Source organism: Homo sapiens, chromosome 3 (assembly GCF_000001405.40).
Source record: "Homo sapiens chromosome 3, GRCh38.p14 Primary Assembly".
In the NCBI taxonomy this organism is placed as follows: domain Eukaryota; kingdom Metazoa; phylum Chordata; class Mammalia; order Primates; family Hominidae; genus Homo; species Homo sapiens.
Window position 1 is genome coordinate 55,546,868 of NC_000003.12, and position 12,501 is coordinate 55,559,368.

A 12,501-nucleotide genomic window follows, 5' to 3' on the forward strand; every position below is an offset into this window, starting at 1 on the left:
CCGAGGCTCTCTCTCCTGAGGTCTGAAGCTCAGTTCAAGTCCATAACCATTTCCTCATAGGAGGCGGAGTCGCAGGTGGTTTGGGGCACTTTCTCTGGAACAGAGTTTAAGTCCCATTTTTCCCACTCAGCCCTGGGACTTTGAGACAACTTCTCAACATCTCTGAGCCTCCCTTTCTTTCGTTTGCTGGCTGCAAAACGAGAATGGTAATAGCGTATCTCTGTAGGGGCGTTAGCAAAGACAGCAGGGGATGCGTGTAAAGGGCTTCTTACAGTGCCTGGCACACGGCACCTGTGAGCTGCTGTCTTGGCACTCTGCTGATGCCCAGGGCTGTCCTCGACTTGCCCCAGCCGGGCCCACCACCACTGAATCTCCCGGGGTGAGGAAGCACCCCTGGCTCCTTTCATCCTCTACATCGGCCAGGTCTGGATAGTTCAGCCTCTGGGAGGCAGGGTAGGGCCCAGCGGGCCATGTTTGCAGCCCAGCAAATGTTCCTGGAGCCTTGTTTTTTGTTCTGTTGCTGGGCCATTTGTTTTTATAGCTTATCGTTTCTGCAGGGGGGCTTTGAAAGGCTGCCATTGCTCCAGTGGACGTTTCCGGTGCGCCTCCATCAAGCCACATTTAATGAAAACCAGTTTAAGGTCTTCTTTCTCATAAAATGTCTCATTGTTGCTCCGGCAGCTCCTCTTTAGAATAATGAAGATGAACGCTTCCTCCGTGGGGTAGCACACAAAACCCCCAGCCGTAGGAGAGCTTTGCTCAGTCCCCAGGAAGTCTCAGAGACCAGGGGAGAAATAAAAAGCTAGTGCAGTTTCTATTAGGGAGGAGGAGAGGTGGGGGCTTAGGAACCCTCAGTGCTGCAAATATAGGGAATGAAGCTTGGGTTCCTCATCCTCTCTGAAGGAATTGTCAAATGAAAGAATTTTGCTACTAAAAGCGTTTTATAAGACCCTCAACAAACACTTGTGGTCCAAAGAAGGGAAGCAGCAGACGTAAGGTCACACAGCAGAGCTGGACTAGTTGGGGTAGAGCTGGGGAGACAAGCAGTTTTCCTGGGTCCCCATCCAGACCTCCTTCTGCTCCAGAGGACCCCCATGAGACAGGGCCAGGGGGCCTTCTTCAGGCTGTCAGGTCTAGCCCGGAGTTGAAGATGCCTGATGAGGATCTGGCTGGTCCACAATAGGGGCTGGGGAAGCAGCTGGTGGCCAGTTTCACAGACAGCAGGAGGTCTCCTCCAAATAAAAATCACAAGGATTTTAGATGCACTTGTTGAATGCCAGGCTGAAGTGACCTGTGGCCCCTACATTCCAGGGGTTACCAGCTGATGTGAATGCCTGTGGGTGAGATCTAGTCCTCCCAAAACATGCCACATGGGCAATGCCCTCCATAGCAGTTGTTTGAAAAGGACCTAGTGCTCGTCTCCCAACGATACATTAATTTTTCTCCTTTCAGATTAAATTTAAATAAATCATTTTGGAATTACTCTACTAATTGACTATTTGGTCAGTTGTTACAGGAGATGTAAATAGTGTGGCTTGATCTGGGTTTTTTGCAAATGAGACATGGCCTTTTCCCCTCTAAATGTGTCTACACAGTTACTCTTAATTTGCCCATTCATTGCCCCATGTGCCACACTTGCTCTCACTTAAGTCCCTATCTTCTGGGCTAGAAAACAAGGGCAGGGAAAAACCCCAGCCACACAGACATACGTGTGTCAGCAAGGAGCTAAGCATGGCCAAGGGCGGGGCTGGAGAGAAGGCATCCAAATTCTCTGTCTACCCCAGTTCTGACAATCAAAAGCTGGGTGTCCTTCGATGGGCCACTTGGCTTCTCTGGAACTCAGTTTTTCTACTTTAATAACGTGGGTGGCTTAGATGAGGGGTCCCAAATGTGCACTGTTCACATGGGTACCAGGCAGGCTTCTTAGGAGTAGAAGGCATGGTGGCAGGCAAACTGGGAGAGTTCCTGGGTCAACTAAAGAGACAGCCACCACCTCTCCCTCCAGCCAATGTTGTTTTTCAGAAATGGAGATCTCCAGCAGCCAGATCCTTCATTTCTCAAAAGAGAAACCCCAAACCTAGAGTTTTATGTGAACTACCAAATTCCTACATCTTGGCAACAAAATCAGATGTGTAAGACACCGTGCTATGCAGGTCAAACAAAATGCATCTGTTGATCTCTAAAGTAACTCCGGTTTTAAAACCCCATAATCCATACTTATTTATTACAGAAAAAGAGTGTGTATTAAACAGAGAACTGAATTTGGCTGCATAAGACAGGAGTTAGAGTCCTGGATTCACCACTGACTCAAAGAACCTATCACCTCGAGCATCTGATCTTTCTATGAAATGGTGTTTGCAATACCTGTCCTATGGTTCCACCAGTAGCCTGTGAGGACGAAATGAGGTCCCTCCTGCAAAAAAAAAGGCCTCTATGAAGGGTAGAATACCATGTCCTGGTTATTCTTATTATCCAGAAATTCTTCTCTTCACCACTGGGGACCCTGAGGCCTAAACCTGGAACTTAAGCAGCTGTCTCCCAGGCAGCTCTCCGAACACAAAATGCCTGAGACAATATGGAAACCAGATGCGGAGCAAATGCCGCCTTACCTTTTTTTTTTTTTTTTTTTTCCTGTGCTTTTGTACGTTTTCAAAGCCTTTCCACATTCATGGGCTCTGATATCAATAAACTCACAGCTGCTCTGCAAGGCTGTTATATCAGGTATTATTCTATTCCAGATGAGGAAACGGAGGCTCAGAGCTAAGAATGATTGGGTCAAGGTGCCAGAGAAAGTACATGGCACAAGATGGAAGCCCTGTGGCCTAGACTGCTGTCTGCTGGCAGTCCTCTCTGGGTGGTTGCCTGCTTTCAAAAGATGAACTTTCTAAATATAGGCTTAATGCACAGGGCCCTGTCCTCAGCGAGCTTTGCAGCAGCTGAAGCATCCTAGTACATGGTTTTGGTAGTGAGGATGGTAAAAACAGCAACAGCAGCTGCTTCTGGTCACCACCACCTCCTTTCTCTCTCTCTCTCTGCCCCCAACCCCCCTCCCCGACACACACAAGAGAGAGAGAGAGAGAGAGAGAGAGAGACAGAGAGAGAGAGAGAGGGGAAATACTATGTTAATAGGACACTTTTCTGTGGCTTCTTACTGCACATTGTCTGGACCATACTCTTTGACAGGACTTCCCACCTGGTCTAGCCTGGTCCTGTGCACCTTTGCCCTTTGCAACCTTCCCTGGGCTCATGCTCCCTCCCTCTCTGCTGAACCTTCTTGCAGTAATACTTGCCTCATTCCCTCCCTCTTTAAGGCCTTTGCACCACCTGTTTCCCCTCAGCTCAAGTGTCACTGCCTCCAGGAAGCCCTCCCTGAAGCCTCCATTCTTGGTCATATTCATCTCTCATAAAATCATGGTCCTTTCCTTCAAAGCCCTTATTCCCATTTGTGCTTGTATGTTTGGGTGTGTGATTATCTCACTTAGTTCCATCTCTTTCACTGAAATGTAAGCTGCTTGAGGGCAGGGCAATCAGCCCTTTGTATTCAATGTCACAACTCCAGCACCAGGGATGATGTGCAGTAACTATTTGTTGAACCAATGCATAAATAAATATGTGAATTAGGTAACATCTACCTCATGTAATTCTCTCCACACCCAATGAGATATTATGAATTGTTATTCATAATATGGATTCATAACAATGGATGTTATGAATTGTTCCTTGTTGCAGGGGATGGGGAGAAGACTGAGAGTCTGAGATGGTCAGTGGCTTGTCCAAGGTCACACAGCTAGTAAGAGATGGGGGAAGATTTGACTACAGGTCTGCCCGATTTCCAAATTTTCAAACAGATATAATTTAAGAAATAGGGGCCGGGCGCAGTGGCTCACGCCTATAATCCCAGCACTTTGGGAGGCCAAGGCGGGCAGATCACGAGGTCAGGAGATCGAGACCATCCTGGCTAACACGGTGAAACCCCATCTCTACTAAAAATACAAAAAATTAGCCGGGCGTGGTGGTGGGTGCCTGTAGTCCCAGCTACTCGGGAGGCTGAGGCAGAAGAATGGCGTGAACCTGGGAGGCAGATCTTGTAGTGAGCTGAGATCGCGCCACTGCACTCCAGCCTGGGTGACAAAGCAAGACTCCGTCTCAAAAAAAAAAAAAAAAGAAAGAAAGAAATAACATGATAAGCCTCTGTGTTAGCCATGGTTTTCCAGAGAAACAGAACCAACAGTATGTGTGTGTGTGTATATGTGTATAGATATACACACACATACATATATACACACATATATATACACATGAATATATACACACATACATACACACACATATATATATTATGGAGGGAGAGAGATTTATCTCAGGAAATTGGCTGCTGGGCACGGTGGCTCATGCCTGTAATCCCAGCACTTTGGGAGGCAGAGGCGGGTGGATCACCTGAGGTCAGGAGTTCGAGACCAGCCTGGTCAACATGGTGAAACCGCGTCTCTACTGAAAATACAAAAACTAGCCAGGCGTGGTTGTGGGTGCCTGTAATCCCAGCTACTCGGGAGGCTAAGCCAGGAGAATTGGTTGAACCCAGAAGATGGAGGTTGCAGTGAGTTTTCACGGTGCCACTGCACTCCAGCCTTGGAGACAGAGTGCGATTCCGTCTCAAAAAAACAAAAAACAAAAAACAAAAACAAAAACAAAAAGAAATTGGCTCACGTGTTTAGAGGTAAATCCAAAATCTGATGGGGTAGGCTGGCAGGCTGAAGACCCAGGGAAACATTTAAATTCAAAGGCAGTCCACTGGCAGGGTTCCTCCCTAGTCTCTGTTCAATGAAGGCCTCAACTGATTGGATGAAGCCCAGCACATTCTGGAGGGTAATCAGCTTTACTCAAAGTCCTCCGATTTAAATGCTAAACTCGTCCAAAAAAATATCCTCACAGAAACATCCAGAATAACGTTTGACCAACTATCTGGGCACTGTAGCCCAGTCAAGTTGACACATAAAATTAAACATCACAACTTCTGTATACCCATCACTCAGATTCAGCCATTATCAATGAAATTGCTACATTTGCTCCAGCTGGCCCCCTTCTTTTCTTTTTTTCTGTTGGTGAAGTGTTTTGAAACATACCCCAGGCCCTATATCCTTCTATCCCAACCTACTTTATAAGTCAAGCTATCCAACTGCAAGGCATGCCCATAGAACCCCGCACCTCTAAGAGCTAGCTCGGTCCTCAACTGTGAGAAACCTGGCCTCTCAGAGTGCAGAGAGGAGGCTTCCTGATGTGTAGGCCCAATCGGCATGCCCAAAAGGTGAGGTCTGATTTGTGAGACAATTTCCACAGTCTTAGAAAGAAGTTTCCTCTATGCCCCAGCCACGTCTGTTTATAACTTGACCTTGGCCAGGGGTGGGGTTGGGGGCAGGGAAAAAGACTTGCACGTTCCACTCCAGCAAAGCGCTCTCTGTTTTTCCATGGCCATACATTGTTTTCATTTTCATGTTGCACCCGCCTGCTCCCCATCCATTTATTGCTTTCTCCTCCTTCTCTTTTCCCTTCTTCCTCCCCCTCATTCTTCCTCCCTGGCTTTGAGGCGTCTGGACTTTTGCACACCAGAGAAAGAAACCTATTTAATCTACCATGTTTACAAGCTGCGTAAACAAGGTACAGTGAGTGAATCATGGAAAAAATGCACTTTATGTGAAAAAGTTCATTATATGACTTTGTTCTATTAAAACAGCCGGGTGTAACTAACCCCAACCAGAGAATTTGGAAAAAAGGAAAAAAAAAAAAGGAGAAAAGAAAGGAACCCCTGAAAATGCCCTGTTAGCATTTATATCTTACAATTTCACATTAGCATTCATATAATTTCTGCTGGTTTAAGAACATTTAAATGGAGTTCTCCTCTAGGGAGAAGATATAGGGACTCATTTTCTGTTGCTTTCTAATAATCTCTTCCTTAAAAATATATACATATATTTTTTAAAATTGTCCCAGTGGATTTAAGGAAATAGGGTTAAAAACCAACCGACTGAATTAGTTCTTTTCTTGAGTTGTTGAGTAATTGGTCATCATTCTTCTACCTTACTCTCATTTTGTTTGGGTCTTCTAACTTAATAATTTCTGTGTCGTTATTATTGTGGGGCTTCCAGATTTTTTTTTTTTTTTTTTTTTTTTTTTTGAGATGGAGTCTCATTCTGTCACCCAGGCTGGAGTGCAGTGGTGCAATCTCGGCTCACTGCAGCCTCCACCTCCCAGGTTCAAGTGATGCTCCTGCCTCAGCCTCCTGAGTAGCTTGGACTACAGGCACACACCACCATGCCCAGCTAATTTTTGTATTTTTAGTAGAGACGGGGTTTCATCATATTGGCCATGCTGGTCTTGAACTTCTGACCTTGTGATCCACCTGCCTCAGCCTCCCAAAGTGCTGGGATTACAGACATCAGCCACCACGTCAGGTCCAGATTTTTCTATTTTTCTTATGATGATAACAATAGCAAGTTATTAAAATGCACTGGCACTATGCTGAACACCCCACATTAAGAATTTTATTTAATCTTCACAAGAGCCCCATGAGAATATGGAGGTATTGTGGGGTTAAGGAACTGGCCCCAGTTCATGGTTAAGAAATGGTAGCACTGGCTGGGCACGGTGGCTCACCCCTGTAATCCCAGCACTTTGGGAGGCCGAGGCGGGCAGATCATGAGGTCAGGAGATCGAGACCATCCTGGCTAACATGGTGAAACCCTGTCTCTACTAAAAATACAAAAAATTAGCTGGGCGTAGTGGCGGGCACCGGTAGTCCCAGCTACTGGGGAGGCTGAGGCAGGAGAATGGCGTGAACCCGGGAGGTGGAGCTTGCCGTGAGTCAAGATCGCGCCACTGCTCTCCAGCCTGGGTGACAGAGTGAGACTCCGTCTCAAAAAAAAAAGAAATGGCAGCACTGAGGCTTAAGCCTCACAGCCAAGCATCGGCATCATTCAAGTCTAATTTTCTAAGTAAGAAAAGCCAATTGGAAACAATGACTATGTTAATAGTCATAGAACTAACTTTAGGACGTGGGAATATGAGTGACTTTTAGTTTCTTCTTCAAATTTTATTAAAATTTCCAAATTTTCCATAGTGAATTATGGAATAGTGCCTTTAGAACTGTTTCATGGAGGAAATAATGTAATCCTGCCTAGGCTTAACTAGGGAAAACAATGTCTTTTATGAAGTATCTAAATACATCTGAGAGGAAATAATACACATCTTTGCATAATTCTTTGCATATACTGAGGTAGAATGCGGTGTTCTAGGGTGTAGACGACCTGGACTATCTTACCATCCATGAAGGCAAGCGCTTTCCCTTTCCTGGGCCCCAGTTGTTCCATCTGTAAAGTGAGACTCATAGACTGAAATGGCTTTAAAAGGCTTTTTCATAAACTTCTTTGTTTATGAAAAAACCTCTTTGAGACCAAAGATGGCCTCTTTGTCACCAAATATTCAAAGATACTGCTTTATGGGAGCTGATGACATCCTTAACAAGTAGAAAGGCCTTTCAGGCATTTTCCGTCCTTCCATTTTGTCTGTTGCTTTCAAGACAGAGGTGCAGACGGGACCTGAAGGAGTGAGTAGCCAGGCTGAAGCCGGACTCCTAGGAACTCTGACAAGAGACACAGGCCTGTTTTTAGGAGACACCAAATGGATGATACCCTCTCCTGGGGTGTGGATGGTCTCAGGCTGCTGTGAATGGCCTTTTCCTCTTCTTCAGAAACAGCTTCAAAACCTTCCTTAATGACAAAACAAAGACATTTGCAAACTGCATGGTTCAGAGTCCTCTCTGCTGCTTCCCAGGGGGCTGGGTTCCCATGCATGTGTCCCTTCCCCCCTCCCCCCTTCCCCGTGCTGCAAGCTGCCCTTGTTTTAAACCAAGAGTTAGGGCTCAGCCTAGGGGCACTGTCAGCCTCATCTCAGAGCACCTGGGTTCTCAAGGCTGGCAAATATCTCTCTTCCCAGGCCCCAAGAGAGGATGCAGCTGCTCTGCCCGCTAAGCTTTCAGCTTACCCCAGCCTCTGGAAAGGAAGGAGGGGGCCTTGGGCTGCCTGTGAGGTGGGGCCCAAAGCCAGCCCAGAGCCCTGGCTCTCAGACAGAAACTTCACCAGCGATTCTGAGGATCCCATTTCCCACCACCACGCCCAGCCACCTTGGGGAAGTCAGCACCGAGAGCAGTGGAAACAAAATCAAAATGCAGGCACAAATAAGATGAATAATCCTAATAATTTGAGACATGCCGCCCTTGCTAAAAGGACCATAAAGGGCATTTGTTTCTAATTAAACACCAAAACCCTAAACCTTTCAACTCTGCATCCACAACTACTGTAAATGTTTATGAAAAACGGGAAATTCTCGTTTAATTCAAACCATGCCAGAAATGCATTTTCGTTGTCTTGACCGGTGGAGAAACCCTATCGGCCCCAGCTTGAGCACATCTGAGCTTTAAATTGAGAAAGGCAACAGGCCTGCAAGTGAAGCTGAGTCCTGAGCAAGACCTGGGTGAGGAAACAGCATCTCCTCATCATGGCCAACTCTCAAATGACACCAGAGCAAATGCTTGGAGCGTCTTCCAGAAAGAGAAATGGGTACCAGGGCCGCTTGCAATGTTAGGGGGAGGGTCACAGACGTCTCAGAAATAAATTAGGCTGCCCAGCAAAATGGTTAAAAGCAGAAGTTGTAGAGTCACACAACTTGGTTGGATCAACCTCTTACCACTGGGGTGATGTGGGCAAAATAGTTAAACTTTCTGTCTTGGGTTCTTCAAGAATCATTGCCACAGTTAAGTGAGATGAAGCCTTTAGTGTGACGGCAAGTGAACCTGCAAGGCCCCTGCCTTCATGAAGCTGACGGGCCAGGCAGAGAAGCAGATTAATCAGCAACCTGTGCTCAGCTCTAGAGTGTCTCCAGGTAGCTTTTCCAGTGCCCTCTCTACCTGTGGAGTTGCTGAAATCCGCGCTGCTCGCTCAGAAAACGGGTCACCGAGGAAAGATTTCAGCAGGAAAGAGCAGCCCATTCAATAATTCCAAAGTGACTGTACCCAGGGACTTGAGGAACCTTAAATGCCTATCCCCCAAGCCCCACGACTGAGCTCACAGCACCCAGAGACCATCACAATGAAAAGTACACTGGGCTGTGGAAACTCCCGGGGCAGGAGGAAGCTCTGCCTCCTTAATCAGAGGATGGAAGCCCTCCCTTGGAAACAAACATTTCAATTTGGCTGAGAAGGACACAGCAGGGAAAAAGCCTCCAGGACTCACGTGACTGCATTTCCTAACTCTTCATCCAGCTTTAAAAATCAGGGGATTTCCTTTGCTAGTCTTTGGGGAGGAGGGTTAGGACCTAAAATCTAGGCCTGAGTACCCTTTCTCTCACTGCATGGATATTTCCACTCTAACAATGTCAACAGCAGCCTTTCAAAAGCAAAGAGCTACAGCCTCTCAGTGCCCCACATGGAGTCACGTTACTGCCTGCTAGGCACGGGGTTTTGCTCCACAGCCCCCATTCACCTTACTTCCAGGAAGACAGACCAAGTTCCCACCTCCTCCACTTTCTGTCCAGAAGCTCCCACCACCCCCATAAGCTCCAGACATAGAGCATATGACTCAACTTGGCCAATCACAGCATCACATTCTCTGGCCTGCAGTGATTCAATCAAATCCAGTGAGAGGAGCTGAGAATTTTGCTGAACTACTGCAGGAAAGGCACCTGCTCTTTGCTTGTGGATCTGAATCTGGAAGGATGATGGCTGGCAGCCATTTGCTACCAACAGAGCCTGAGGAGGTAACCAACACACGCAGGACAGGAGAGACTCAGGGTGGAGACAAATAGCTCCTGACCACATCATCTGAGCCCCTGGGACCCACCATGCATGAAGGCGGGTCTCAATCTTCTAATTCCACAAGCCAATAAATCTTCTCATTTGCTTAAGTGATTTTGAGCTGGTTTTTCTTTTTGCTTGCAAATGAAAGAGTTGAAAAAGGGAAGAGCTGAATAGGGGATAGAGAAGAGGCAAAGGCTATGAGTAAGATCAAACAATTATTTACTGCAAGTCTACTACATGCCTGGCACTGCACTCTGTTCACTATGGGATACCAGACACACACATAGACCCAGAGTTTACAATCTTTTAGGAGAGATGAGACATGAGTTTGAGTGACTGTAATATAAAGAAAAAATATGACAAATGCTGTGAGCAGGGAATAAAAAGTTCTGCTGACACACAAGGAGTGAGAGCCTTCTTCTGGCTTTAGGCCAGGAAAAGGATTCATGGAGATGGCTCGTAGCACTGCTTTGAAGAGGGCTGGAATTTGACAAGCAGAATTTGGGGTGGAAAGTGGCAGATGGCCCCCCCAGTGGAGGGGACAGTGTGAGCAAAGGTGAGAGAGACATGTTCTAGAATGGCAGACATCGTGTTGACAGACAAGCACCAGGGGAAACAAAGGGCAGACATCAGGAATTCTGCAGGGTCCTGGCCAGGGCCCTCCCTTCCTCTCAGGGAACCTCAAATGTCTTTGTCTCTATACTGCAGCCATATTCTGGCTGAAGTTCTGTCATCTTGGGTTGCTGAGGGAAGGGTTTTCTACAACAGATATCAGCCTGCAAAGGATTCTAGCTTTTGCTTCTCCTGGCCACCCCTTGGGGGAATCCTTTATATATTAAGTAGTTGCCATGTGAGATCTACTGCCACTCAAAGTTAAACAGCTCAGTTGGCACTCTCCAAAGTCTGCTTCCAGCATAAACCCATGCCACATGGGCAAAAATCCATTTGGGAAAAGACTGGGAGGAGCACTCCAGTCAAAACCTTACATGGTCTGATCCCTGCCAACCTCTTCTCACTCCATGGCCCCCTCTGCTTTCTGCATTCCCTATGGCTTCCAGCCACAGGACCTTTGCACATGCTGTTCTCTCTGTCTGGAACACCACCCTTTTACCTAAGCAACTCCAACTTATCTCTTAGATCACAACTCAATTGCCACTTCATCATAGAAGCCTTTGCTCGTGGCCCTCCAGGGCTCAAGGCCTCCCAGTACAGGAGTTAAAGACAAGGGTTCCAGAGTCAGAATGCCTGCGTTGAAATTCTGGCTCCAGTGCTTACTAGTTTTATGACCTTTCTGTGCCTCTGTTTTCTGATCTGTAATATTGGCTAATTAACGGAGAGGCTTGATAATGGCAATAGTGTTGGCAGATAACACTGAATGAACATGAGCTACCATCATATGATTTCAGAGCAACTTGTCCTGCCTCTCTGCCTAGTCACAGTTGCAAGTTAATGCATTCATGTGATCCTTTGATTAACGTCTGTCTTTGCCAATTGACTAAATGCCCTACTATTAATAGGTAGAACAATGTCTGGTTTTGCCCACCTCTAGCACTTAGTATCCTGCCTGGCACGTAATAGATGGCTTAAAAATATTTCAGAAATGCAGGTATGAATAAAAGAACCCAGAGTGGGGAAAATAAGGTCCCAAATATTCTTATATTTGCAGAAACCCTGACCTCAAAACGTCACTCCAAATAACCAAGGAGCAAGACCTCAAAAGTTGCAAACATCTGTGGTTTCAAAGATGAATAAAACAAGTTCCAAAAGATGCTCCAGCCACTGAATTCCTCTTTAGCAATTCATTTCCTGAAAAGTGGACATGAGGCTGGAGTAAATGTGGCCAGCCAACCAGATGCAATGCTCTGAAGTTAACAGAAGTTTGTCTGATGTGCATCAAATGACTATAATTCCTTTTCTAGTATCCCTAACAGTTACAGAGAGGTTTCTGTGAGTGTGGCCTTTGGCCCAGATTTTAAATAATATTATGCTTTGCTGCAATGCTGTTTTCTGAGAGTTTACATCTTTGGGGTATGTTTTTAATATGCGCCTCATAATGGGCCAAATTCTCCTCTGAGATCCAAGCTAGATCTCCCAAGTACAGACTATGTTATAGATCTAGGGGTAAACAGTGGTTTCCATGTCAAACTTTTGATCCATCATTATTCTGTGATCCTCCAGGAAGAAGGGCTCAGATGCAGATGACCAAAAGTGGGTACAGTTTGCAGGGAGGCATTAGTATTTCCCTTTGCAAAACATGTTAGTCCCACAGCAAGGTCTGGAGACACAGTTGGGCAGGCTGAGAGAGCAGGAGACCCAGATGCTGGAGCCCTCACCTTGGGATTTACCAAGGCATGTGGCTCCAACTGGGTATTGGTTTTCCCTGGAGCAGGGCATGGCCTTTTAACCAGTTTTCCCTTTTTCATGCTCCCTTAAACCAGTCCAGCATCTCCCTATGGGCCTGGACCACAGAGATGCCTTTCTTCCTGACTCCTGAGCCTTCTGAAAGTTTTTCCACATTTTTCTCCTTCCAAGAAAGCAATGGTTCTCCAACTCAGAGGTTCTGATTTCAGGAAGCATCTGTGGAGTGTAGCTCTGAGAAGAAAGCACCCAAAGTGGTGAAGAGTAGTGTGTGCATGCACTTAAGGCCCATGCCC

General features: G+C 46.4%; 1 protein-coding gene across 19 annotated transcripts in view, besides 1 other annotated feature; it reads right to left on the minus strand.

Moving 5' to 3' along the window:
- The window catches only part of ERC2 (ELKS/RAB6-interacting/CAST family member 2), a 960,157-nt gene that overhangs the window by 38,557 nt on the left and 909,099 nt on the right, over window positions 1-12,501 (minus strand). The window lies entirely within an intron of this gene.
- Window positions 8,580-9,081: an enhancer, noted in NCBI's record as "H3K27ac hESC enhancer chr3:55589475-55589976 (GRCh37/hg19 assembly coordinates)". NCBI's record gives its function as "activates a minimal SCP1, AML or CMV promoter by ChIP-STARR-seq in naive H9 embryonic stem cells {active_cell/tissue: H9 hESC(naive)}" and the evidence as "EXISTENCE:reporter gene assay evidence [ECO:0000049][PMID:30033119]".